At 41.1% G+C, this 27,102-nt stretch overlaps 1 protein-coding gene across 3 annotated transcripts, besides 3 other annotated features; it reads left to right on the top strand.

Annotated features, from left to right (window-relative positions):
• Positions 1-1,294: 1,294 nt before the first annotated feature.
• PLAC8 (placenta associated 8) lies at positions 1,295-25,976 on the top strand. 3 transcript variants are annotated; one of them, NM_016619.3, is made up of 5 exons: positions 1,295-1,358; positions 8,074-8,220; positions 11,004-11,128; positions 21,233-21,346; positions 25,053-25,976. In NM_016619.3, exons 2-4 carry the CDS (start codon positions 8,103-8,105, stop codon positions 21,335-21,337), a joined length of 348 nt encoding a protein of 115 aa, NP_057703.1. In that variant the 5' UTR covers positions 1,295-1,358; positions 8,074-8,102; the 3' UTR covers positions 21,338-21,346; positions 25,053-25,976. The 3 variants fall into 3 exon arrangements, with proteins under 3 accessions (NP_057703.1, NP_001124187.1, NP_001124188.1); NM_001130716.2 differs by lacking the exon at positions 1,295-1,358 and adding an exon at positions 6,135-6,296; NM_001130715.2 differs by lacking the exon at positions 25,053-25,976 and having other exon boundaries at positions 21,233-23,163.
• Positions 5,158-5,207: an enhancer, noted in NCBI's record as "active region_21678". NCBI's record gives its function as "activates an Ori minimal core promoter by ATAC-STARR-seq in GM12878 lymphoblastoid cells {active_cell/tissue: GM12878}" and the evidence as "EXISTENCE:reporter gene assay evidence [ECO:0000049][PMID:35858748]".
• Positions 5,308-5,357: an enhancer, noted in NCBI's record as "active region_21677". NCBI's record gives its function as "activates an Ori minimal core promoter by ATAC-STARR-seq in GM12878 lymphoblastoid cells {active_cell/tissue: GM12878}" and the evidence as "EXISTENCE:reporter gene assay evidence [ECO:0000049][PMID:35858748]".
• Positions 5,768-6,047: a silencer, noted in NCBI's record as "silent region_15539". NCBI's record gives its function as "represses an Ori minimal core promoter by ATAC-STARR-seq in GM12878 lymphoblastoid cells {active_cell/tissue: GM12878}" and the evidence as "EXISTENCE:reporter gene assay evidence [ECO:0000049][PMID:35858748]".
• Positions 25,977-27,102: the final 1,126 nt, after the last annotated feature.

Here is a 27,102-nt window from a genome sequence, read left to right as displayed (position 1 = left end):
CTCAGCCTTCCAAGTAGCGGGGACTACAAGCCTACGGGCACTTACCACCATGTCTGGCTAATTTTTTAATTTTTTGTTTTTGTTTTTGTTTTTTTTTAGAGACAAGGTCTCACTGTGTTGGCCAGGCTTGTCTTGAACTCTGACCTTAAGCAGTCCTCCGCCTGGGCCTCCCACTGTGCCGGCCCACCCTCATTTCTGAAAGGTTTTGTTAAACAAAGTTTATGAGAGGCCATTGTTATGGACTAGCCTCCTGCTCTAGGCCCCAGAAAATCAGACCAAACCAGAATGAAGTCGCTTGTGCTAAGTGACATATAATCAAACTGAACTTTGAAATGGACCAGTTTTCCAAAAAACAGGAGATTTCAGTCAACCTCAGTCAGTGTAGTAAGGAAGTCCTCTCTGTTTTAGTCCTATAAGGAAAGTAACTTTGAAACAACCAATCTATCTTTTTTTCTCTGTTTCCGCTTTCTTCATACTCACCAGGACACTCATTCTATTTTATAGAATGATGTGTTGCTTGATTCTAGAATTGCAAATAAAAGGCAATTACATCTTCTAAACTAAATTTGTTGTAATTTTGTCTTTTGATAGTTTAAACTATGGGATCAGAAATTCAAAGACTATGAATAAAAATTTCAAAAGAAAGAAATAGTAATACCACCAATAAGAAGAATAATTAAAAAGGTACAAAGAAATTGGATGCAACATTGTAAAAAGAGCCATAGTTTGGAGCTGAGCTGACATGAGCTAAAATCCTAGGTGAGTAACTTGTTAGCTATGTGGCCTCTGAAAGTCAGCTCAAGAATCTGAGCTTGTTTCCTCACCTCTAAAATTGAAAAAATAAGGCCTAACTATCAAAGTCATTAACAAGTCATTGATAATGCTTGGCCTATTTTAATGTTCAGTATCTGTAAGTTGATACCATTAAAGGATGCTTGAGATGCCAACTACTATATAATCTGAAACAATAATGATCTTTTTTTTCCCCACAAAGATAACAAAAAACAAACACAAAAAAACAACAGTAAGCTCTGCCAGACATGTAAAACCAATCAAACTATATAATGAATTAAATCCTTTCCCCATTAAAAAGACGTATCAGTGTACCTAACACAATATAGGAAAAGAAACACACCTTATTTGGCAAGAGATATATTCATTCTCCAGATAAGAGAAACACACATTGAAACCACTTCTGCTGGATTACTCTGGCCAATAAGAGCGTCTGAAACTGTTCTATGTACTATGCCCTGCGATAGAAACACAGTTACCTCTCCCCTTTCACGTAGTTTTCATTTGTGGTGAGATTCTCTCCCAGGCCACAAGACATTTCCTGCTCGGAACCTTGTTTACTAATTGTAAGTACTTTACAAGTAAGAACTTGTTTTAAAAACTTAGCATTCAAAAAAAAAAAGCTTTCTTTAAAAGTTATTTGATTTTCTTGTTTTTTTCTTAGCATGTTATATTTTGAGTTTCAGCTAAAAGACTAAGGTTTTCTTATCTAATTGCTTTAAATTTATACATTTAGTCAAATTCAACAATTTCTTGCTAAGCATTTTGCCAAATGCCAGGCTTTTCAAAGTAGTGTAAGATCCCAGCCTTGAATCCTCATCAATTGCTGCTTTCTGCAGCAAACACATATTATACATTGTATTTAGTAACATGATCATTAATTTCACTCTTTATTTCAATATGTATGCATGTTGACTTATGCCGGTCTAATTTCTTTCTGCTTTACAAATATTCTATTTTATCCATTCAAAGTATTTAGAAACAAGATATGGAATTTTGTAGATTTAGCTAATGAATTATAAGAATTCTTGAATTCTCACTATGAAAGTAAGAAAAACAGACTAGAATTCTTCAAAATTAAATTCTGGTGCTTCATTTATATGTATAAAGAGAGATGGAGAGATTATGAAATGGAAATGTTTCAATCAAAGCAAAAAAATGAAATTTAACATCAATAAACAGTAGAAGAGAAAAATCTCAATAATATGTCTAGTATCTGGATTAATCAATATTAATAATATGTATTAATATTACTATAATTAATATCATGTATTATATTAATATTAATGTATTTTATTAAGATAGTGGGCTGTCCTCAGGAGTGAAGTGCTCATAGAAAGGAGAGACAAATACAAGATTGATTCTTAACTAATAGATAAAATTAAGGTGTTTAAAATATGAGCCAAATACTGCAAGATTTCCTGACATTGAGACCATTCCACAGAACTTCCTAAAGAAAGGTATTCTAGTCTCATTCTCCAAAGCTTGCCCACCAAGATTCCCATTTCACTACCTCCTGCCCCCATTTTTCCTGCATTTTCCAAGGTGGCCCCTGCCAACTTTTTTTTAATCACTCTCTCTGCTCCTGTGGGGTTAAAGATGGCATGGAACAAAACAGCTGTGTGGTCACACCACAACGGGCAGAACTGCTGGCCACAGATAGGAAACCTCAGGCATCTCCTTAGCCCTTACCAAATCCAGCCCAACACGTTTACACACCCTGGCACTCAATAAAATATTTGCTGAATTAAATTGGATCTGTAGTTATTAGTAACAGAAGAAAAATAAGGCCACTGGTCGTGGGTTACAAAATGTGCTCTGCAAGGCCACTGGCATTAGAATCTTGTGAAGTGCCCAGGATACTGCACAGGCCCGCACCTGAAGGGAGAGGAGCTAGTTTGGAATGTGCTCCCGGGAATGCGAGAGGGTCTAGCATGGGCTTCATCGCATGGAGGAAGGTGTACCGTTTTTCGAATTCTCACCGAAGCAGCTACGTGCTCACCAAGCCGTGTCTGTGAGAAGGGCCACGTTTTTCTAGTTCATAGGACAAAAGCCTATGGCATAAGGGCAGCAGCCCTGCGGGTGCACGTTACAGACTTTTAGACCCTAGCTCATTCTATCTAAACCACAATCTCTGAACAGTGTGTAGAATTCTACATTGTACAGATTCCTCAACCCTAGCTCATTCTATCTAAGTCACAATCTCTGAGCAGTGTCTAGAAATCTACACGTTAAAGAGCAGTCCAAGTGGTTTTACTAATAGTAAGCTTTGAGGACCACTGAACTAAGGAGACAAGCTGGTACCTAAGGTCCTAGGAACTCTAGATTTTCAAGGACGTTTTCTCTCCACTTATTGCTGACCTTTTACCTTGAATGGCTAAGGCTAAAGACTTCATGGCTGAAGCAAAGAGAATTGTGGTTGTTTGAACAAGCAACAATTTTACATTTGTTTCTGTTTTACATTTGTTGCAACTTAAAAGATACCTTGAATTTTTAAATGATCACAGAGGCGCGTACAAATGAGTGTGTTTGCTTTCTCATCTGTTTTATAACTTTCAAGAAGGTATTTCTTTGAATAAGATATCTCACGGGAGAAGTTATTAGACCCTTTTTAGAATCAGCTAGAAGTGACAGATGGAAGTCCTGGATAGCAGTTCCCTTTAGGACTACTCTTCTACGCAGGGATAAGCCGAGTAGACTTCTCCACCAATATAGGTAATCTGTGCTAGAAAGGAACTTACAATAGCATCAGAAACCTCCTGGGGCCCCCCATTCTGCTCCAGTTCCTAGTGCTAATATTCACAGAAGCACCTGGGTCCCTGCAATCTCCCACATTCAAAAGAGGAAGTCAAAAGTACAAAAGTAGTGAAGGAAACAGAAACATACAATGTTGACTGTTGGGCTAAAGACTGTTGAGGCTACTACATGGAGGAAGTAATGTTCACACAAACTAACTGGCAGTTAGCATATGGATATTTGAGATACAGCTGATACATATATATATATATATATACATATATATATATACATATATATATATATAAATTTTTTTTTTTTTGAGACGGAGTCTCGCTCTGTCATCCAGGCTGGAATGCAATGGCACGATCTTGGCTCACCACAACCTCCACCTCCTGGGTTCAAGCGATTCTCCTGCCTCAGCCTCCCGAATAGCTGGGATTACAGGCATACACTACCACACCCAGCTAATTTTGTATTTTTAGTAGAGACAGGGTTTCTCCATGTTGTTCAGGTTGGTCTCGAACTCCCGACCTCAGCCTCCCAAAGTGCTGGGATTACAGGCGTAAGCCACCACACCCAGCCGATACAGCTGCTTACTATAGAATATAGAGATGGCCACTGAGTGGATTTCAAAGGCACTCAGAAAATGTTCAGGACTCAAACTGCTATGAAGTCTAACATTAGCCAATTTGAATACAAAAACACATATGCCATACACTAAGTAAATACAGTCAGGTAAAGGAAAAACAATTACATAATTGCAGGGTGGTTTTTATTCTGAAATCTTCAGATTGCTGTTATTATATTAAAAAACAGAATATAGGCTTCTTGAAAAAATAAGGGTGTTAAATGAACATGTTTTTCCTCTGAAAGAGTTGTAGGATCATCTTTATTTATTGAATACCAGTTTCATGCCAAGCATTGGCTAAGGGCCAAGAGGGAAAAAAATACAAACAGCTATAGTATCATTTGTATGACTTGCCCCCTCCTTTTTTTTTATTTTTTTATTTTTTTTTTGGAGATAAGAGTCTCGCTCTGTCACCGAGGATCCACCTGCCTTGGCCTCCCAAAGTGCTAGGATTACAGGCGTTAGCCACCGTGCCTGGCCTGGTATGACCCCTTAAAATTTTTTTTCTAGTCACTGGATTTGCTTTTTGTTTCTGAAAAGGATATTTCTTGTTTTGCTTATAAAAGAAATAAATGCTAATTATAAAAAAAATTATCGGCCATGGGTGGTGGCTTACACCTGTAATTCCAGTGTTTTGGGAGGCCAAGGCAGGAAGATCACTTGAGGCCAGGAGCTCAAGGTCAGCCTGGGCAACATAGTGAGACCCCCATCTCTACAGAAAACGAAAACAAATTAGCCAGGCATGGTGGTGTGCACCTGTAATCTCGGCTACTCAGGAGGCTGAGGTGGGGGGATCACTTGAGCTCAGGAGTTCCAGGCTGCAGTGAATTATGATCGTGCCATTCATTGCACTCCTGCCTGGACAACAAAGAGACCTTATCACAAAACAACAACAACAAAAAGTCTATCAGCCAATCACCTAGGGATAGCCACTTGACATTACGGATAATTAGCCTTTCATATTTTTTCTGGTATTTGATAACCAAGATGAAATGCAGAAGAAATTTGAATACATATTCTCTAGCATTTCCTGTAATGCTTCTTCCTCCAGGATTTCAAATGTGGGAAGCCATCACCCAAAAATATGGTTTCGACCATGTTAGTACTGGAGTTGGGATTTAGGGAAGATCTGGTCCCCACCTGTGGAGGTCTGCAGAGTCAGGTGAAACATTAGCCTTGTTTGCGTTTCCAGGGCTGGGCTCTCGCCACTGTTTGCTATGCACCATCTGGAGCCTGCATCACGCATGGCCTCAGCCAGCCCGGAAGCGGAGAGCGTGGTGGCGGGGGCGCTAGTGAGCTCCTCCTGTGTACCAGGTCCCGAGCTAAGGTTTTGAGACACCTCAGTGAACTTGGCCCACAAAATCCCCTGCCTTTGTGGAGCTTACCCTCAGTGTTGGGGATTTGGGACTTACTTTTCCCAAAGCCAAGCTAATTATTGTAAAAGGGGTGAGTGACGAAAACGGAATCATTGCAAGGTCCTTACCTCTTATTTCATGAGATTGGCGGCATGAGTGTGTCTAGAGAGCTGTGGTTGCTTACTCTTACACGTGGGCGTGTACCCCAAGACTAGAATCCAGGGTCCATCTAATAAGCATTCAAATCAGCGGGCGGGGGAGGGGGTGGGTGATAGTTTCTTGTCTTACTTTCCAATCCCAGCGTTGCTCAGCCCATACCATCTGATAAAAACTTTTTACAATTTAGAAATGCCCGGTGAGCCTGGGCGCCCGGAGCGACAGAGCGGCGGGTGCCCGGGAGGAAGCGGCGCCAGCCCTGCCCAGCTTTGCGGCTCCTGGCGCCTGCCGCTGGGGCTGGGCTCCGAGACCGCGCGCCCGCTGCCCGGTTCACGCCGAGTCCCCAGCGGCGCGCCGCCCCGGCGAATGGTCCCCCGAGGGCAGCCATCCGCAGACGCAGTTCCCTGATTGCCCCAGCAAAAATGGGCGGTCTCCTTGGGATAGATTCTGCGCGGGCTGCTCTTAAGAATTTACCGGCAGGCAGGTCTGGTCCCAGCAGAGGAGACCCAGGGGTCCCAGAGCTGGGCTGGCGGGAGGCGTAATCCGGCGGGGTGAGGGTTGATCGAAGAGCCCCGCGCGCAGCTGCCGCTCACAGCCCCTTCCCGAGTGCAGAGCGGGCAGAGAAGGTAAGAAGCCCACCCACCCACTCCCCGCCTCCTGAAGCCCGTGCTTCAGACCTGTCCCTGCAACTGGGGAAGAGCCAGGCGGGCTCTCCGCCTCCTCGATCCTCCTCCCTGGAAGAGGCCCGAAGGCAGCGGCCGCCAGACACACGTTCGCCTAGTCCGTCACCCGACGGCTCTGCCCCTCAACAGGGGCTCCTCCACCGCCACGTACACATCCGCGGCTCATGCACGCCCTGAATGATCGGCTCAGCCGGACCCCCTGGTTTTTTGTTCACTTACTGGAACCTTCTTTTGCAGAAAATCTTGTTTGCTGTGGGATCCACAGATGGGTCCGCCTCCTTCTTTTAGTGTAAAAAAGCAGTGAACGGCTATTATGGTACATTTTTAAAAAAATCAAACAGAAGCCAAAACCACTTTAATGTCTATAGAAGGACACGTCTAATACATTTAAAATAAGCTTCAGCTGTTCTGAATACAGTTCATGGTATTTTTATTTAAAGACAAATTCTTTAGAATGAGCCTGTAAGGTGGGTAGGTCAGAAACCCCATTTTACAGTTTAACAAGTGGACATTTAAACGGCTAGTTAAATGATGAGTCTAAGATCACGGTTTCAGAAACTAAGACTTGGGCAAAGCTGCTCTCACTCCGAATCTAATTCATGTTCCATGACCCTACACTGCCTCTCATGATGTAGAGAAATGAGGAGTAACCTTACCAAATGTACTTCTTAATAAACTGCCCCTACCACACAGCAGGGTCCGTCAGGCCAGCGCTGACACAGGTTTGCAGGCTCCCAGTAAATATGAAGTGAAGGACAAGTCAGGAAGTGGGAAGACTGGAAAGGATTGCTCATCGGAAATCAGTCCAAAACAAAAAAGAATAAATTAGGAACAAGAAGGGGGGATATACACAAAAGTTTAGGATGATGCCATTTTAGAGAATGCTATTTTCTATAATTCACTACTGTCGGCCATGATCACAGGTTGCTCGTTTGTTTCGCAGCCTGTGTGAATACCAGGTACCTGTCTAAAAACAGTACACGAGCAACACTCTTCAGCTCCCTTACCCCACGAGAAGCAACTGTTCACCTTCCCAGTTCCGTGAATTCTGTGGTTTTTGTTTTGGGGGGTTTTGTTGAGGTGGAGTCTCACTCTGTCGCCCAGGCTGGGGTGCAGAAGTATGACCTCGGCTTAATGCAACCTCCACCTTCCCGGTTCAAGCGATTCTCCTGCCTCGGCCTCCCGAGTAGCTGGAGTTACAGGCACGCGCCACCAAGCCTGGCTAATTTTTTGCATTTTTAGTAGAGGCGGGGTTTCGCCATACTGGCCAGGCTGGTCTCGAATTCCTGACCTCAAATGATCCGTCGGCCTCGGCCTCCCAAAGTGCCGGGATTACAGACCTGAGTCACCGCGCCCGGCCCAGTTCGGTGAATTCCTTCCCCTCACCCCCAGGGTCTCTATCTTGTGAAGGGTGGAGATAGAAATTCTGTTCTTCAAACAGAGCAACTTCCTCTACACTGCCTCAGCATCCTGCCCCTAAAGTGGGCCTTTAAAGAGCAACCTCGAGATTTCTTTTATATATATATATATATTTTATTATACTTTAAGTTCTAGGGTACATGTGCACAACGTGCAGGTTTGTTACATATGTATACATGTGCCATGTTGGTGTGCTGCACCCATTAACTCGTCATTTACATTAGGTATATCTCCTAATGCTATCCCTCTCCCCTCCCCCCACCCCACAACAGAGATTTCTAACACCACTCTGCCTTTTCAGTCCACTGCTTTTAAGGCCCTGCACTGAAAATGCAAGCTCAGGCGCCGGTGGTCGTTGTGACCCAACCTGGAGTCGGTCCCGGTCCGGCCCCCCAGAACTCCAACTGGCAGACAGGCATGTGTGACTGTTTCAGCGACTGCGGAGTCTGTAAGTGTGTGGGGAAAGAACCCCCTTATTTGATACCGAGGTGAATTACCAATGACTCAATCCTTCCCCCATTCCTCCCTTATTGTGTAGAAAAAGTTTCTAACTTATTACAAGCACTCTGCATGTCAGGCAATGGTATGTTTAGCAAAAAAAAAAAAAAAAAAAAAAAAAAAAAAAAAAAAAGCCTCCGTATGGATAACTTAATTTTCTCCAGCCCTTCAAAGAACAGTCTTACTCCTAAAATAAGTTCTGGGTTAAGATAATAGCAAAAGAGCTGATTGATTCTAACAACGAGCAGGTCTGGCCTGACTAAATAGAACTTACATTAATTTAAAAATTCCAAGTTGAACTTGATTTTTTTAGAAAGACTGTTCTTGCAACATATAAATTAACCTCATTAATTTATAGTTACATTGTGTCCAGTACCCAAGGGTTAGATTCATGGTTTCCATATGCGTTCAGAGAAAACTATTTTAATGTATATATTTAGGTTTTTTACACACCTGAGAATAAAGAATTCTGGAGGCAATTAGCTTGTCACTGGGGAAAAAAAATCTCTGACTGCTTTGTTTTTTTTTTTGTTTTTTTTTTTTGTTTGTTTTTGAGACGAAGTCTCACTCTTGTCCCCCTGGCTGGAGTGCAATGGCACGATCTCCACTCACTGCAACCTCCGCCTCCCAGGTTCAAGAGATTCTCCTGCCTCAGCCTCCTGAGTAGCTGGGATTACAGGCACCCGTCACCACACCTGGCTAATTTTTGTATTTTTAGTAGAGACAAGGTTTCACCATGTTGGCCAGGCTGGTCTCAAACTCCTGACCTCAGGTGATCCGCCTGCCTGAGCCTCCCAAAGTACTGGGATTACAAGCGTGAGCCACCGCACCCAGGCTGTTTTCTTTTTATAAGATCTCCTTAAAAGATCTCTTACTTAGAGATGTCTCTAAATGAACTTGGAGGAAAGAAGTTTGGGGTGTGATGGGCGTTGCAGCGAGGAGCAAGGTGCTTAGTTCTCAATAATGACCAAGAAATAAACAAACCCACCTGCAGAAAACTTGCTCTGAAGTCTATTTGCTTGTCTTGGTCCACATAGTACTCTAAGGCAAGAAAATAAAATACATTATCCTTTAAAGTTGAAAATGACTTTGAATGAGAGTTGAATTGAACCTTGTTTTTGTTTTTTGTTTTTTTTGAGACACAGTCTCACTTTGTCACCCAGGCTAGAATGTAGTGGTGCAATCTCAGCTCACTGCAATTGTCTGTCTCCCTGGTTCAAGTGATTCTCCTACCTTGGCCTCCGAGTAGCTGGGGTTACAGGCACGCACAACCACACCCAGCCAATTTTTGTATTTTTAGTAGAGATGGGGTTTCATCGTGTTGGGCAGGCCGGTCTCAAACTCCTGACATCAAGTGATCTGCCCACCTCGGCCTTCCAAAGTGCTAGGATTACAGGCATAAGCCACCATACCTGGCCTGAAATTGAACTTTGAATGTGATAAGAATTACAATCAGGCTGGGCGTGGTGGCTCACACCTGTAATCCCAGCACTTTGGGAGGCCAAGGCGGGCAGATCACAAGGTCAGGAGTTCAAGACCAGCCTGGCCAAGATGGTGAAACCCCATCTCTACTAAAAAATACAAAAATTAACCGGGCATGGTGGTGGGTGCCTGTAGTCCCAGCTACTTGGGAGGCTGAGGCAGAAGAATTGCTTGAACCTGAGAGGTAGAGGTTGCAGTGAGCTAAGATCGCACCATTGCACTCGAGGCTGCATCTCAAAAATAAATAAATAAATAAGTAAATAAAATAAAATAAAAATAAAAAAAGAATTACACACTCAGTAGCATAGCAAGGGAAAATTACCTAGGGAATGAAACAATTGTGTTGGTTTTTTCACTCTCATTGTCTGGGGTGACGACTTAAGCTTCTCAGGGCACCAGTTCAACATCTGCAAATCAAAGTGAGAATTAGACTGCATTGGTGAAACTCTCTAAAGATGAACATTTTAACCCTCTCACCCCTAGTATTATTATTACCCAATTAAATGAATACACAAGTTCCAATCAAAGCTTAATTGCTTAATAGCAAATTTTCTTAAATGTAGATCTGATCAAATTATTCTCCCCTCTTAAAATGTTTCAGTGGTTCCTCATAACTCTCATGGCACACTCTTAACACTTACAGTTTTTCATCATCTGGTCCCCAACCTGCCTCAACCCCCAGTTAAATCCTCATCCCATCCCAGGGCTCCAGCCATATTGAATGAACACTAGCCTTTGCCAGGATATGCCAGATTACCTCGAAGAGGCTCTTTTCCTTTTTGTCCACCTTTAAAACATCTAATCATCCTTCAATATTTCCTGAGCATTTCCTACTCAGGGCCTTGTAGGCCCCATTTTTCTGGGTGACCTGTTGGTATTTCAAACACGTTTCTGTTGGAGAACTTTCCCTATGATCTGCCTTCACTACTAGACTTGAGCCAGGGGCACTGTCAGTACTGAGGATAATGTCTGGAAAATGAATAAGTTTTACTGCATCAATGAACAAATGAATGAAGGCAGAACTATGACAAGAATGATATACTTTGCAAAGGCGTGGTCATTCCTGAAATGATTTGCGGGTGGAGCGAGAAATTGATGCAAAGCTGAATAGAAACATTGAAGATGGACTTAGCAGCAGGCTTTGCGGCCAAGGCCCCATGACTCGGACTGCCATTTGTGAAAGCAAGCTAAACTTTCAGCTGTGGCAGGGGCAGAGTGGAGTAATATGTACCCCTGGTTTCATGTGTCTAGGTCTCTGTGGCACATTTTGTTTCCCGTGCCTTGGGTGTCAAGTTGCAGCTGATATGAATGAATGCTGTCTGTGTGGAACAAGCGTCGCAATGAGGACTCTCTACAGGACCCGATATGGCATCCCTGTGAGTCTCTTACCATACCATCTCACTCAAATATGCACCCCATTCAAAATAATTATTATAAACATGGAGATCATTTGATGTATACATCTTCTGAAATTGATTGATAAGAGTTCCCTAGCATGTGCAATCTTGCATTCAGTTGTAGCAACAGATCTTCTGGTTATGTGGCCTCCTTCTAGGTTTCTGCTGAAAACCTGAGAAAATTGATAACTCATATTTGCAATGGATGTCATACCATGGAAGAGGCTTATTTAGGATCTACTGTGGCGTGGATGCATTACATGTATTATCTCACTTAATCCTCACATCATCTCTGTAAAGTGGGTAGGTCCACAACATTTTGCCAAAGAGAACTTTAAAGTTTTAAGAGGTGGAGTAATTCCCTCAAAGATAATAGTAGAGAAAGAGTCGATACTCAATTCTAACTGTCCATTCATACACTTTCCATTACACCAACTCCACTTTGTGTAGGTGAGAGATTATATTACTTAGAGTCCTCCTAAGTGCATTAGAAACAGAACCAATAAGATTGGGAGTGGATGTGTGTATACACACATATATATATATACAGGCAAACCTCAGATATACAGGTTTAGTTCTAGACCACCACAATAAAGCAAATATTGCAATAAAGCAAGTCACATGAATTTTTTGGTTTCCCAGTGCACATAAAAGGTATGCTTATACTACACTATAGTCTGTTAAGTATGCAATAACATTATGTCTCAAAAAACAACATATGTACCTTAATTTTAAAATACTTTATGGCTAAAAAATACTAATAATAATCTATCTGAATCTTCAGCAATTCATAATGTTTTTGCCTGTGGAGGGTCTTGCCTCAGTGTTGGTGGCTGCTGATTGATCAGGGTGCTGGATACTGAAGGTTGGGGTGACTGTGGCAATTTCTTCAAGTAAGGCAACAATGGTCTGGGCGTGGTGGCTCACACCTATAATCCCAGCACTTCGGGAGGCCCAGGAGGGCTGATCACTTGAGGTCAGGAGTTAAAGACCAGCCTGGCCAACATGGTGAAACCCCTGTCTACTAAAAATATAGAAATTAGCCAGGCGTGGTGGCAGGTGCCTGTAATCCCAGCTACTTGGGAGGCTGAGGCAGGAGAATTGCTTGAACCCAGGAGGGAGGCTGCAGTGAGCCCAGATTGCGCCTCAGCACTCCAGCCTGGACAACAGAGCAAGACTCCATCTCAAACAAAACAAAACAAAAACAAAAAACAAATAAGGCAACAATGAAGTCTGCCTCATTGATTGACCATTCCTTTCATGAAAGGAAAGATTTCTATGCTATTTGGTAGCATTTTACCTACAATAGAACTTCTTTCAAAATTGGATTCAGTCCTCTCAAACCCTGTTACGGCTTTATCAACTAAGCTTATGGAATATTCTCAATCCTTTGTTGTTATTTCAACCATGGTCACAGCATCTTCACCAGGAGTTGATTCCATCTCAAGAAACCACTTTCTTTCTTTCTTTCTTTCTTTGTTGAGATGGAGTCTCACTCTGTTGCCAGGCTGGAGTGCAGTGGTGAGATCTCGGCTCACTGCAACCTCCGCCTCCCAGGTTCAAGCGATTCTCCTGCCTCATCCTCCCGAGTAGCTGAGATTACAGGTACCCGCCACCGTGCCCAGCTAATTTTTGTATTTTTAGTAGAGACAGGGTTTCACCATGTTGGCCAGGATGGTCTTGATCTCTTGACCTTGTGATCCGCCCGCCTCGGCCTCCCACAGTGCTGGGATTACAGGCAGAAGCCACCGCGCCCAGCCTCAAGAAATAGCTTTCTTTTTTTTTTTTTTAAAGGGAGTCTTGCTCTGTCACCCAGGCTGGAGTGCAGTGGCGCCATCTCGGCTCACTGCAAGCTCCGCCTCCCAGATTCACGCCATTCTCCTGCCTCGGCCTCCTGAGTAGCTGGGATTACAGGTGCCCGCCACTACGCCCGGCTAATTTTTTGTATTTTTAGTAGAGACGGGGTTTCACCGTGTTAGCCAGTATTGTCTCAATCTCCTGACCTCATGATCCGCCCGCCTCGGCCTCCCAAGGTGTTGGGATTACAGGCGTGAGCCACCGCGCCCGGCCAAGAAACAGCTTTCTTTGCTCATCCATAAGAAGTAGCTCCTCAAGTTTTATCATGAGATTGCAGCAATTCAGTGACATCTTTAGGATCCATTTCTAATTCTAGTTCTCTTGCTATTTCTACCACATCTGTAGTTACTTTCTCTACTGAAGTCTTGAACACCTCAAAGTCATCCATGAGGGATAGAATCAACTTCTTCCAATCTCCTTTACTGTTGATATTTTGATCTCCCCCCAGGAATCATGAATGTTTTTCTGTTTTGTTTTTTGAGACAGGGTCTCACTCTGTCACCCAGGCTGGAGTGCAGTGGCGCCGTCTCGGCTCACTGCAGCCTTCCCCTCCCAGGTTCAAGCAATTCTCCCACCTCAGCCTCCTGAGTACCTGGGGCTATAGATGTGCAGCATCACACCCAGTTAATTTTTTATTTTTATTTTTTGGTAGAGATGGGTTTTTACCATGTTGGCCAGGCTGGTCTCGAAACTCCTGACCTCAAGTGATCCGCCTGCCTTGGCCTCCCTAAGTGCTGAGATTACAGCTGTGAGCCACCACACCTGGCCAGGAATCATGAATGTTCTTAATGAAACCTAAAATTATTAATCATTTCCACAAGATTTTCAATTTATTTTCCCTAGATCCATCAGAGGTATCACTGTCTATGGCAGCTACAGCCTTCAAAAGTGTTTTTTTTTTTAAATAATAAGACTTGAAAATCAAAATTACTCCTTGATTGGCTGCAGAATAGGTGTTCTTTTAGAAGGCATGAAAATAACATTAATCTCTTTGTATGTCTTCATCAGAGTTCTTGGATGTCTAGGTACATTGTTAGTGAACAGTAATATTTTGAAAATAATCTTTCTTTGTGAGTATAGGTTTCAGTTGTGGGCTTAATATTTGGTAAACAATGCTGTCAACACGTGCTGTCATCAGGTTTTGTGGTTCCATTTATAGAGCACAGGCAGATTTAGCATAATTATTTTTTTTTCTCATGGGGTAGGGGAAAGAAAAGTGATTAGAATAATTCTTAAGGGCTCTAGGATTTTGCAAATAGTAAATGAGCATTGGCTTCAACTTAAAGTCACCAGTTGCATTATCTCCTAACAAGAGAGTCAGCCTGTCTTTGGCACCTTTGAATACAGGCACGGACTTCTCCTTTCTAACTTTGAATTTCCTTGATGGCATCTTCTTCCAATAAGGCTGTTTCATTTTCATTGAAAATCTGTTTTTTAGCGTAGCCACCTTAATCAATTATCTTAGCTAGGCCTTCTGGATAACTTGCCACACCTTCTCCATCAGCACTTGCTGCTTCGCCTTGTGCTTTTATGTTACGGAGAAGACATCTTTCCTTAAACCTCATGAAGCAACCTCTTTTAGCTTCAGACTTTTCTTTTGCAGCTTTCTTTTTTGTTGTTGTTTTTGTTTTTGTTTTGAGATGCAGTCTCGCTCTGTCGTCAGGCTGGAGTGCAGTGGGGCACGATCTTGGCTCACTGCAAACTCTGCCTCCCGGGTTCAAGCGATTCTCCTGCCTCAGCCTCGCCAGTAGCTGGGATTACAGGCCCGTGCCGCCACACCCAGCTAATTTTTTTGTATTTTTAGTAGAGACGGGATTTCACCATGTTGGTCAGGATGGTCTCAATCTCCTGACCTCGTGATCTGCCCAACTCGGCCTCCCAAAGTGCTGGGATTATAGGCATGAGCCACCACGCCCAGCTTCTTCTGCAGCTTTGTCTCTCTTATCCTTCATAGAACCCGAAGAGCACTGGGGCCTTGCTGTGGATTAGGCTTTGACTTATGGGAATGTTGTGGCTGGTTTGGTCTCCTATCCAGACCACTCAAACTTTCTCCAGATTAGCAATAAGGTTGTTTTGCTTTCCTATCATTTTTATGTTCACCGGAGTAGCATGTTTAATTTCCTTCAAGAACTTTTCCACTGCATTCACAACTTGGCTAACCATTTGGCACAAGAGGACTAGCTTTCAGCCTCTCTCTGGTTTCAATATGTTTTTCTCACTAAGCTTAATTATTTCTAGCTTTTGATTTAAGTAGGAGATATGTGACTCTTCCTTTCATTTGAACATTTAGAGGCCATTGTAGGGTTATTGGTTGACCTAATTTCAGTATTGTTGTGTCTCAGGGAATAGAGAGGCCCAAGGAGAGGAAGAGAGATAGGAGAACAGAACAGCTGGTCAGTGGAGCAGTCAGAATACACACATTTATCAATTAAATTTGCTGTCGGTATTAGTCCGTTCTCGCATTGCTATAAAGAAGTACCTGAGGCTGGGTAACTTATAAAGAAAAGGTTCTCGCATTGCTATAAAGAAGTACCTGAGACTGGGTAATTTATAAAGAAAAGAGGTTTAATTGGCTCATGGTTCCACAGGCTGTACAGGAAGCATAGTGGCATCTGCTTCTAGGGAGACCTGTGGAAGCTTACAATTATGGCAGAAAGCAAAGGGGGAGCCAGCACTTCACATGACTGGAGCAGGAGGAAGGGAGACAGAGGTGCTACACATTTTTTTTTTTTTTTTTGAGATGGAGTCTCGCTCTGTCACCCAGGCTGGAGTGCAGTGGCACGATCTTGGCTCACTGCAAGCTCCACCTCCTGGGTTCACGCCATTCTCCTGCCTCAGCCTCCCAAGTAGCTGGGACTACAGGAGCCCGCCACCACGCCTGGCTATTTTTTTGTATTTTTAGTAGAGACGGGGTTCCACCGTCTAGGCAGGATGTTAGGCAAGATGGTCTCGATCTCCTGACCTTGTGATCTGCCCGCCTCGCGCGCCCGGCAGTTTTTTGTTTTTTTTTTTTGAGACAGAGTCTCGCTCTGTCACCAGGCTGGAGTGCAGTGGTATGATCTCGTCTCACTGCAACCTCTGCCTCCCAGGTTCAAGCAATTTTCCTGCCTCAGCCTCCTGAGTAGCTGGGAGTACGGGTGTGCGTCACCACACCCATCTAATTTTTTTTTTTTTTTGTATTTTTAGTAGAGATGGGGTTTCACCATGTTGGCCAGGATGGTCTAGATTTCTTGACCCTGTGATCCGCCTGCCTTGGCCTTCCAAAGTGCTGGGATTACAGGTGTGAGCCACCATGCCCAGCCTCTGCTACACACTTTTAAACAACCAGATCTCACGAGAACTCACGCACTATTGGAACACAGTACTAAAGGGAAAATCTGCTGCTATGATCCAGTCACCTCCCACCAGGCCCCACCTCCAACATTGGGGATTACATTTGATGTGAGATTTGGGTGGGGACAACATCCAAACTATATCACCATCTTATATGGATGGGTGCAGTTCATGGTGCCCCAAAATAAATAGTAACATCAAACTCTTAATGATCACAGGTGGCCATAACAGATATAATAAGAATGAAAAAAATTGAAATATTGCAAGAATTTCCAAACTGTGACACAGAGACATGAAGTGAGCACACGCTATTGGAAAAAATGGCACCCTTAGACTTGCTTGATGCAGGGTTGCCACAAACCTTCAATTTGTAAATGCAGTGAGCCAAGATTGCATCATTGTACTCCAGCCTGGACAAGAATGAAACTCCATCTCAAAAAAAAAAAAAGTTATAGCTGATTATAAAATCATCTTTTAAAGAGGACCAAAGTGAGAAAACAATTGTCTGTGGATGACAAAAACATTTTAGGGCAGCCACAGTTAAAGGCACAATTGACAAGGAAATTTACTTCTGTGGCACACAGTCATTTAACATAATAATTATAATTATTATTGTTAACATATACTAAGTCATATTAGAATTATAGCAGTTTTATATAATTTTGGAACATACACCAATAACACATTTACACAAATATAGACCAAAGAAAGTCATTTGATATTTGACAATGCTTCCTGTATGATTTTTGTACCAAATAAGCCATTTTGAGACTTTAGAGGACCTAATATCTAAATATTAGGTTAGAAAGAGACATAATTTATAATTTGATTTTGGAAAGCTTGTCAAATATCAAAGGTTTAAAACACCAGATATCACAAAATAGAATCCCAAGTCACCATAAGTCATTCATTTGGCAAAAATAACTCAAAAAAATTAAAAAAAAAAAAACCTTTATTCTGATAGAGGAGACTTAGCTTTCCAAACAAGACTCAATGAAGATAGCATGAAGCCAGCTGAATCTGTCTCTTCTTTCTGTCCTCCTTTTTTTCCCTGCCATTTACCCAAAGGAGAAAACAAAACTCTTTCATTATCTTTTAACATTACATAAAAATCATCTTTGAAAGAGAAAACCAAATTTCATGTTTGCATTAGTGCATCTTTGGTGCTAAAGCTAGTTTTTACATAAAATTGTATATATCTATCCAGTTTTAATTAGTTTGACCATAAGGTAAGATTTTCATAAACTTTTTAGAACGCTTTATAATTTTCCATCAAACAGAAGATCCATTTTCTAAGAAAACCCTGTTATTTGGACACATGGGCCCAGATTCTGGCCCCACAGCAGTGTGATTTTAATGTTTTAACCTATGGAAAAATGCTAAATAATTTTTTTTAGCTCTTGGCCAACTTGTTTATACCCACAGAATTTTTTACAAGATCAACCCTTTACAAACCCTTTTCACTTTGCTTAAACCTTCAGTTTCGTCCCGTTAGTCTTTTAGGTTAAGACAATCTTTAAAACCCTCAGGCCCGGCGCGGTGGCTCACGCCTGTAATCCCAGCACTTTGGGAGGCCGAGGTGAGCAGATCACAAGGTCAGGAGATTGGGACAATCCTGGCCAACATGGTGAAACCCCATCTCTACTAAAAATACAAAAATTAGCTGAGCATGATGGCGCGCACCTGCAGTCCTGGCTACTCGGGAGGCTATGATAGGAGAATCACTTGAACCCGGGAGGCGGAGGTTGCGGTGAGCCGAGATCACGCCACTGCACTCTAGCCTGGTGGCAGAGCGAGACTCCATCTCAAAAAAAAAAAAAAAAACCCTCAAAACTAGACAAAATTACATTCCGTTTAACAAAAGCCATATTCCTATGCCTTCTTATAATCTTTTACCAAAAACACATTCCCTACACACCTTTATGTAAAACTGTTTCTCCAGTGGTCTCAATTACATGTTACCATATTAACTCTTAGCAACTTTTATTTTTAGTGAAAACTCTGATAAGTAAGATATTTTAATTATGTATTAGGGGTGGAGCCTAGGACATTAGACAGAAATGAAGATAAGGTCAGACTCTTTTTAGCATAGCTAGCGGGCATGGCTCTCCATATGTCCCCAGGCCTTATATATTATCTAAGCCTCCAAAGTAGGTAAATCAAACAATTTTCAAAAGTCAAAGAAACAGCTTGACCTTAAAGCATTTAGCAAATCTGACCTTAATTTAGGGCAAATGTCTACATTTTCAAGACAACTTATTTTACCAATAATCTTTAAAACTGTCCTTATTTCCAAAAGATTACTAAAGCCATGTGAACAAAAAGGCGTTAAAGTTTCTATTTTTCTGACAAAATATTTTATTTAAGTGCTTTTTTCCTAAGCCAATTAATCAGAGCTCTTTTATATATAAACATCACACACACACACACATACACACCCACACACACACACACCCCACATGTAAATAGAGACAGACAGAAGATTGGGCACTTGTAAGATTTTTCATTTGCCAATTTCTTAATTGGATGACCGGCTTCAGGGTGGAGCTCTTGGAGGAATAGAGCTGGGACAGCATGCGTTTCTAGGACCAAATAAGTAGCAAATAAACAGCTGAAGGCAAGACAGATCTCCAAAGTTAAAGGTACCGTTTTATACTGGTTTCTCCATCCCCAAAAGGAGGGAAATACTACGGGAGAAGACGGTGCAGTGCTTTTACTGACTGTGCATTTCATTGCAAAGCAACCCAAAGCCAATCAGCCCATTTTGTAATCAGCCCATCTTCATGAGAGTCTCATCTCCTAGTGAGGGGTGAGGATGTTGGATGGTGGAAACCAAAAGAAAGTATCCCCATATGGTCACAAGATTTAGCTCTGAAGGACACAAAACAAGACATAGAAATTTCTTACAGTATTGGCTATCATATATCAAGTAGGAAAAATAAGTTATAGGATAGTATGACCTCATTTTTAAAAAACAAACGAACTCCTGAAATGCCAAACTCTATATGTCTATGTCCATAGCTGTATCTTCGTCTAATCTATATTTATATGAGTCATAGGCATAGAACAAAATCTAAGGAAAGAGCCTACACAGCAAATTATTAATAGGTTATCTCTGGTAGTGACATTGGGTAGAAAGGGATTAGATTGTTATTTTTCACTTAATATTGTTCTGTGTTTCAATTTGTCATTAAAATTATCTATAGCATGCATTTAAAATTGTTTTAATTTTTATTTAAATTTTGTTCACAAGTGTTGTCAATAAGCATTTTTTTTTTGTAATTCACAAAATGATAAATATTTTTAAGTGAAAATAGAAAATAGTTTCAGCTAGGTGCAGCTGAGCATGCCTGCAGTCCTAGCCTGAAACTCTTTTTCAGGAGGCTGAGGTGGTGAAACTGCCTTTGCAAAATTATGACTGAGACAGTGAAAGAGATCTAACTTAACTGACTCCATCTTACTTCTAACCGCCAAGCTGTCCTTGTTCATTCCTGGGTGTAGGCTGAACCAACTTTGGGAGAAACGTAGTTTATAGTTTAAACAAACATGGTAATAGCCCTTTCCCAAAGCAGACCTCCCTTTTGCCTGGGGAATAGATTGCCTTTGGAGGACTAACATTAGCCACAAGATTAAAATTATAGTTTAGAAGTCATGGAGCTGGAGGCTACAAGATTCTGACCCTCCCTGAACTGTTACTAAGATCAGTGCTTAACATCGTTTGCAGACCCTGCGCTTGATGGAGATGAGGGTTCATCTAGTGCCCTGCCCGTGACTGTGTTCAGTTTCAAGTCCATTAAATGCCAGGAATGTAAATGCCACTGTTTTCTAATGCAGCTTTAATTTTTTTATTTATCAAAACCCTGAAACGAAGTGTTTTTAAAATCATCTAATTTTACAAAGTAGTCCCCAAAAGTTTCTTCCTTACTTCTTCCCTAGAGCTGATGTCTTGGGAATTTTCCTCCATATCTCCAAATCACACACTTGTATTGCTACTTCTTGACTTTTAGTTAGAGGCATTATCTGTTAACCTCCCACTAGGGAAGATGTGAATTTAGTTCTATTTTCTCCTCCTCCCGCACTACACACATGTGCCCTCTCCCCCTACCCCTTTCTTTCCCATATAGTTATATGGTTAATTCCATATTCAGTGTTTACATTTTGATACTTATATTTGTTTTATTCAACTTCAGAGCTGAGTCATATAGTAAATATGATTGCTTTTTCTGCTTAATTTTGTTTTTCCTGGTATTGGTAATTATTGAGTTTTTGTTAGTATTTTTCCTCTATTTACTTATGAGTCCTTTAACCCCAAATTGTTTGCCAGTTTTCTGAATTTCTTCCCAACAACTTCAACACATAGATGTTTTATCATTTTCATCTTCATGATGAAATCACTTCCAGTCCTACTACCTTTTAAACTAGTTGCCCATTATTCCTAGTGCTTAGCTCTCATCCTGGGATCTGCCTTCACCATGACCCTGGAGATTCCATTAGCTTCTCTCCTGTATTAGACTCCTTCTTCTTATCTTCCTCTTTCTTGGTTTACACCCGCATTTTGGTGGAACACATCCCCTACTAGCTTCCTATGACAGAGAGGAGGTCCAGGAGAAAAGAGTTTTGAAATTCTACTTCCCAAGGATATTTAACTCTCATACTTGATAGTTTGGTTGGACATCTCCTTACATTTTCAGAAACGTAAAGTATAGAAAAATATTTTCCGTCATAAAATGAGACAACATTTATGTGAAAAAGTGAGGTAATATTTTCCTAAATGTATCCATCCAAACTCTGAATCTGAAAGATCAGTGCCTTCTGCTTCTCTTCAAGATGTGGCAAGTCTTAATTCCAAATAGGTGAATTTTATATTTTTATTTCTTTTTGGTTTTCAAACAGGGATCTATTTGTGATGACTATATGGCAACTCTTTGCTGTCCTCATTGTACTCTTTGCCAAATCAAGAGAGATATCAACAGAAGGAGAGCCATGCGTACTTTCTAAAAACTGATGGTGAGTCAATGCAAACATGCCTCTCAGAACATGTGGGTTTTTAGAAATATCACTAAAGACTTTGTCAATTATTTGTTGTTTTGAATAATTCAGCAATAACTATTTCTTAAGTCTCCTGAAGTGCTATCATAATATCAAGATTGGCTTTAATTTTCTTCTTATGAAGAAGATAGCTCTATACTTTGAAACCATATTTTAGTAAATAAAGGAATGGTGAATTTTCTAAACTTCTCAGAATTCTGGTGATCTATTAAGGAAGCACTTACCACTTGTAAAATACCAGAGTATGGTGAGATACAAAAGAATTAGAAAACATGTTCCCTGCTAAGACAAACAAGTTGACAAAAGGAATTCGTAAATAATTATAAAATAGAAGAGTAAAGAAAATAACATTCTGTATGATATTTGGATTGATTGTGGCATAAAGCATCTATCATAGCAAGGTGAGGTTAAATAGAAAACTCCTGTTGGAGAAGCTGAACTTTGAAAGAGGTGAACATAGAATTTAGAATGTTTGGAAATGTTATATAGAATTAACCATCTGAAATTCAATCAAGTCATTTTCAACTAATTTTTCTCAGGACTATCTATTGAGGATGTAGTTAAGTAGAAATCAACATGACTTACTCCATCCCCTGTAGAATATATATTAAGTATGGGAAGAACACAATTTTTCTACTCTTTGTAATATCCAGTTTCCTTCCTGAAGTGATAAGGACTCTGTATGGGTTAATAAAAATAACTCTTGGGAGATACGTAAAAAAATGTTCATTTACTTAGCAAGTAATGTATTAAGGATCTAGGATCAAGTATATATTATCTTAGCAACTAATGTATCAATGTATCAATATCTAAGACTAGGTAAGATACTGTTAGGTATTGTAGTAGGGTTGGGGAGCAAGATAAATAAGCTAGTCCCTCTGTCATTATAGAATTTATACGAAAAAGGGGGATTAGACAAACCCCTAACTAAAATGCAGAATTCAATTAATGCCTATAGACAAAGCGGTATTTTATGTTCAGAGGAGGAAAAGATCACATCTTGTAAGATGTATAGGTGAAAGTTTCTTGAAAGCAGTGATTTTTAATTCTAAAGGGGAAGTGCGTATTAGTTCTCAACAAGAAACAGATGGCACTCAAACTGTGATAGTTCAAAGATTTAATGAAGACTAATTATAAAGGTGTGGGTGGGGCATTGTAGGGAGATGACAAGGGATGGCATAATAACCTGCCTGGCAACAGCCCCAGGGAGGAGAAGAGGGAGCAGTGACCTGAATCCTTAAGGAGAGAGCTGTGTGAAGAGGCCTGCCCTGAAAGAAACAGTATCCTCTCAAGAGAGGGTTGTGAGCAGCCCGAGGCAACCCATAGAACTGAAAAAGTACCCTGACCTCACTTTCGGATGTCCTTCTGGTTTTCCCATTGGCTGAACCCACCAGAAAGGCAGAGGGCAGCAAAGTGTCACGGTAGTCCGCAGGTCGCTTCCCAGGGCACACAGCAGGATGGTCAAGGGAGTAAGTAAATCAGATAGGGGCAAACAGAGGATCACTGACTCAAGATGTGGTTTTAATTAATAGAAATGGAGGCTGAGTGCAGTGGCTCACACCTGTGATCCCAGCACTTTGGGAGGCCAAGGCAAGAGGACTGCTTGAACCCAGGAGTTCAAGACCAGCCTGGGGAACATGTTGAAACCCTGTCTCTTGAAAAAATACAAAAATTAGCTAGGTGTGGTGGTGCACGCCTGTAGTCCCAGATACTTGGGAGGCTGAGGTGGGAGGATCACTTGAGCCTGGGAGGTAGAAGCTGCAGTGAGCTATGATCACACCACTGCACTCCAGCCCTGTCTCAAAAAAAAAAAAAAAAAAAAAAAGGAAAAGAAAAAGAAAAGAAATGAAATGTTGCTTCTAATCAGCAATATTAATGAAACTAGAGAGGCAAAAACAGAGAAAATATCTTTATGAGCTTAGGTCCAACTTGGCTAGAACATATGGCATAAGTAGAAAAATAACGAAAAATAAAAGATTTTAAAGGCCTTAGCATGCGATGTCTGAATACTAAGCTAATGACTTGGTAGGAATTGGGAAATTATTGCAGGCTTGAAGTAAATGAATAGAACTACTCTTTAGAAATATGAATCTAAGGCTGGGCATGGTGGCTCATGCCTATAATCCCAACACTTTGGGAGACCGAGGTGGGAGGATCACTTGAGCTCAGGAGTTCAGCACCAGCGACCAGCCTGGGCAACATAGCAAGACCTCATCTCTACTAAAAAGTAAAAATAAAAATAAATAAAATTTTAAAATAATAAATATTAATCTAATAATAGTATATAGTACAGATTGTACAGGATGAGGCCAGAAGCAAAGATGGGGAGTTAGATCATTCCAACACTGTTTACTTAAATAAATACATGAAACAATTTGGATCAAATATCTACCCACACATTCATAGTAATGAGTCCTGATAGCTCAAGTGTTTTCTTTAACCTCAGGGAAAATATCTCACTGAATCTTTAGGTGGGTTTGAAGTAAAATACCTTGGCGGTCCTGACTCCTCCTCATCAACTTGGACCCTACATCACTCACTGGCAATAAAACTTTAGACAAACAGATATCGAAATGGGGAGCTAAACAAGAGAGAAAGAGCAAGGAATAACAACATGATTTACGTTAAAATAGATTGAGATGAAGGACATAGGAATCCACTGGAAAAGCTCCCCATAGTCCAAACTGGGGCACTTTGAGGAACAAAATAAGGTCGTGTTAGATTATAACCCAAAGTATAAAATATCTATGAGTTTGTGCTGACATAAATGACTGAATAAAATTTGAAAATTGAAAAAAAGTATGTATGTTGAAAGCAGGGAAAACTGGGAATTTTGAGAGCAAAGAAGTGGCAGGAGAATTTCTGTATGGGAGAAGAGACACATCTCCCATATGGAACTCCAAATATTTAGGTAGATACTCCTTCCTCAAGGAGAGCGGCATGATTCCCCACCCTGAAGTGGGGGTTTGCATAGTGACTTCCTTCCAAAAAGTACAGCATGAAAAGTACAGCATGCAAGTGCACTCTCTATACTGTATGGAGTAACTCCACAATGGAGAAACCTGACACAATGACCTGAGCCAGGTAATCAACGTCACCATCATTGGTAATAAGTCATATTGATAGTTTGCACCCCTGATTTGATGTGATGAGAATGGCACTTTACCTTTGTGGTCTTCTCCCCAAAACCTCTTAACTCCAGTCTAACCATGAGAAAAACATCAGACAAACCTAAACTGAGGCACATTCCACAAAATACCTGACTACTCCTCCTGAAAACTGTCAGGGTCATCAAAAACAAGGAAAGGCTGAGAAACAGTCACAGTTTAGAGGAGCCTAAGAGAAGATGACAATTAAATGTAATGTGGTATGCTGGATGAGATGCTGGAACAGAAAATTAAAGTAGGTAAAAACTGAGTAATCTGAAGGTAGTATGGGCTTTGATTAGTAGTAATGCATCAGTATGGGTTCATTAGTTTTGACAAACCTCCCATGGTAATGTAAGATGTTAACCAACAGGAAAATTGGGTGCCAGATACATGAGAGCTCGCTGTACTATCTTTGCAACTTTTCCGTCAATCAAAAATGATTCTGCAATTAAAAGTTTATTAAAAATTATAAAAGTACCTTAAGAAAATTCAAAACTCTTGTGTGTCCTTTATAGGTGAAAAGCTCTTACCGAAGCAACAAAATTCAGCAGACACCTCTTCAGCTTGAGTTCTTCACCATCTTTTGCAACTGAAATATGATGGATATGCTTAAGTACAACTGATGGCATGAAAAAAATCAAATTTTTGATTTATTATAAATGAATGTTGTCCCTGAACTTAGCTAAATGGTGCAACTTAGTTTCTCCTTGCTTTCATATTATCGAATTCGAATTTCCTGGCTTATAAACTTTTTAAATTACATTTGAAATATAAACCAAATGAAATATTTTACTGATAAGATTCTTCATGCTTCTTTGCTCTCCTTAAAATGTCTTTTTCACTAGTTAGTTCCAAGGGTCAGTCTCATAATTTTGTTCTTATACTTTGATTTCCTTTTTCTTTTTTTTTTTTTTTAATAGAGTTGGGGGATCTTTCTTTCTTTTTTTTTTTTTTTTTTTGAGATAGAGTCTCGCTCTGTTGCCCAGGCTGGAGTGCAGTGGCGTGATCTCAGCTCACTGCAACCTCCACCTCCTGGATACAAGCGATTCTGCTGCCTCAGTCTCCCGAGTAGCTGGGATTACAGGTTCCCGCCACCATGCCCAGCTAATTTTTGTATTTTTAGTAGAGACGGGGTTTCACCATCTTGGTCAGGCTGGTCTCGAACTCCTGACCTCGTGATCCACCTGCCTCGGCATCACAAAATGCTGGGATTACAGGCATGAGCCACCGCGTCCAGCCTAGAGTTGGGGGTCTTTCTATGTTGCCCAGGCTGGTCTTGAACTCCGGGCCTCTAGCAAGCCTCTCATCTCAGCCTCCCAAGGTGCTGGAATTACAGGTGTGAGCCACTGCACCATACTTTGGTTTCTTAGCAGGAGATTTTGGTTCACAGTAACCCAGCTCTCTTTCATCTAAGAACTTTAGATGAGAAAAAAAAAAAATAGACTACAGATAACTATTCCCAGGCAGTTATGGTACATTTAGCCAACACTTTTGCCTCTTCTCATGTTATCTGTTAGTATTAATGCTGACAAAGCAAGATTTTTTGCGAAACAACACACCAAGCCTTGCTTTTACACTGCATTCCTCAGGAGGTTGTTTATTGTGTTGTTGATTTTCTTTCCCTTTTGAATATGAGATATCAGAGTAAGAAAACTCTGATCAGAGTTTTCTGAAAACTCTTATCAGAGTAAGAAAAATTTGATCAATGATCAAATTCAGTGACTCAATTTTGGTTAAATTTTATCCATCAATAGATGGATAAAAGTGTAAAATGATTTTTTTCACATTTCTTGTCCCATTTGATCCGTCAGCATCATTTTGCCCTGATGAAAATCTCACTTCCTAATTTCCCCTAGTTCTCCTCCTACACTTCTGATTCCATTTCATTTGTTGGGGTGGGGGAAGTAAGAGGCAAAACTATTTATCTTATACACTTATTGTGAAATCTCAGTGAGACAAAATGTCAAAGCACCTGGAACTTAGTAGGCACTCAACAAATTCAAGCACTCTGCCCTTTCCTCCACTTACCCTATAGCTGTGGGTGCTTTGCAGGGTTCTAGCTTGAGTCCACTCCTTTCACATCTCACGTTCCTAGATAGCATCATCTACTCCCATGGTTCTAACTGCCTCTTAGGACCCCAAAGTCTGTACTTCCAGTTTCTCCCTTACTATTGATCTTCAGAATGTCTCTCTTGCTAGCTGTGAAAATGAGTCCATCTGGATGTCCCCTAGACCTTGTCTACCCAACAAGTCCAATGATATCACTTAGTTGTTCAAGGTGAAAAATCCAGGTACCAATGACCCCTGAATTGCCTCATCGCACCTTTCTCCTTTTCCCCGATATCCAATCAGACACCCACTCTGTCACCGATACTCCACTTGAAAGCCCCAAGGGGTGATCTATTTTGTTTGCTGCTGTATTCCCAGTGCCTAGAACAATGCCTGACACCAGTAGGTATCTACTCAATCATTTTGTTTGCTGCTGTATTCCCAGTGCCTAGAACAATGCCTGACACCAGTAGGTATCTACTCAATCACTTATTGAATGAATTAATCTGTCCTCTC

This window comes from Homo sapiens, chromosome 4 (genome assembly GCF_000001405.40).
Source record: "Homo sapiens chromosome 4, GRCh38.p14 Primary Assembly".
NCBI lineage: Eukaryota > Metazoa > Chordata > Mammalia > Primates > Hominidae > Homo > Homo sapiens.
The sequence above is the reverse complement of the archived record's forward strand: the minus strand, read 5'-3'. Positions and strand labels throughout refer to the sequence as shown.

Excerpts from the sequence above, each read along its gene's own strand:
- PLAC8 (NM_016619.3), top strand. The coding sequence starts at position 8,103 with ATGCAAGCTCAGGCGCCGGTGGTCGTTGTGACCCAACCTGGAGTCGGT. Across the intron at positions 8,221-11,003 it reads TTTCAGCGACTGCGGAGTCT|GTCTCTGTGGCACATTTTGT; the intron begins GTAAGTGTGTGG and ends TCATGTGTCTAG. Across the intron at positions 11,129-21,232 it reads GGACCCGATATGGCATCCCT|GGATCTATTTGTGATGACTA; the intron begins GTGAGTCTCTTA and ends GTTTTCAAACAG.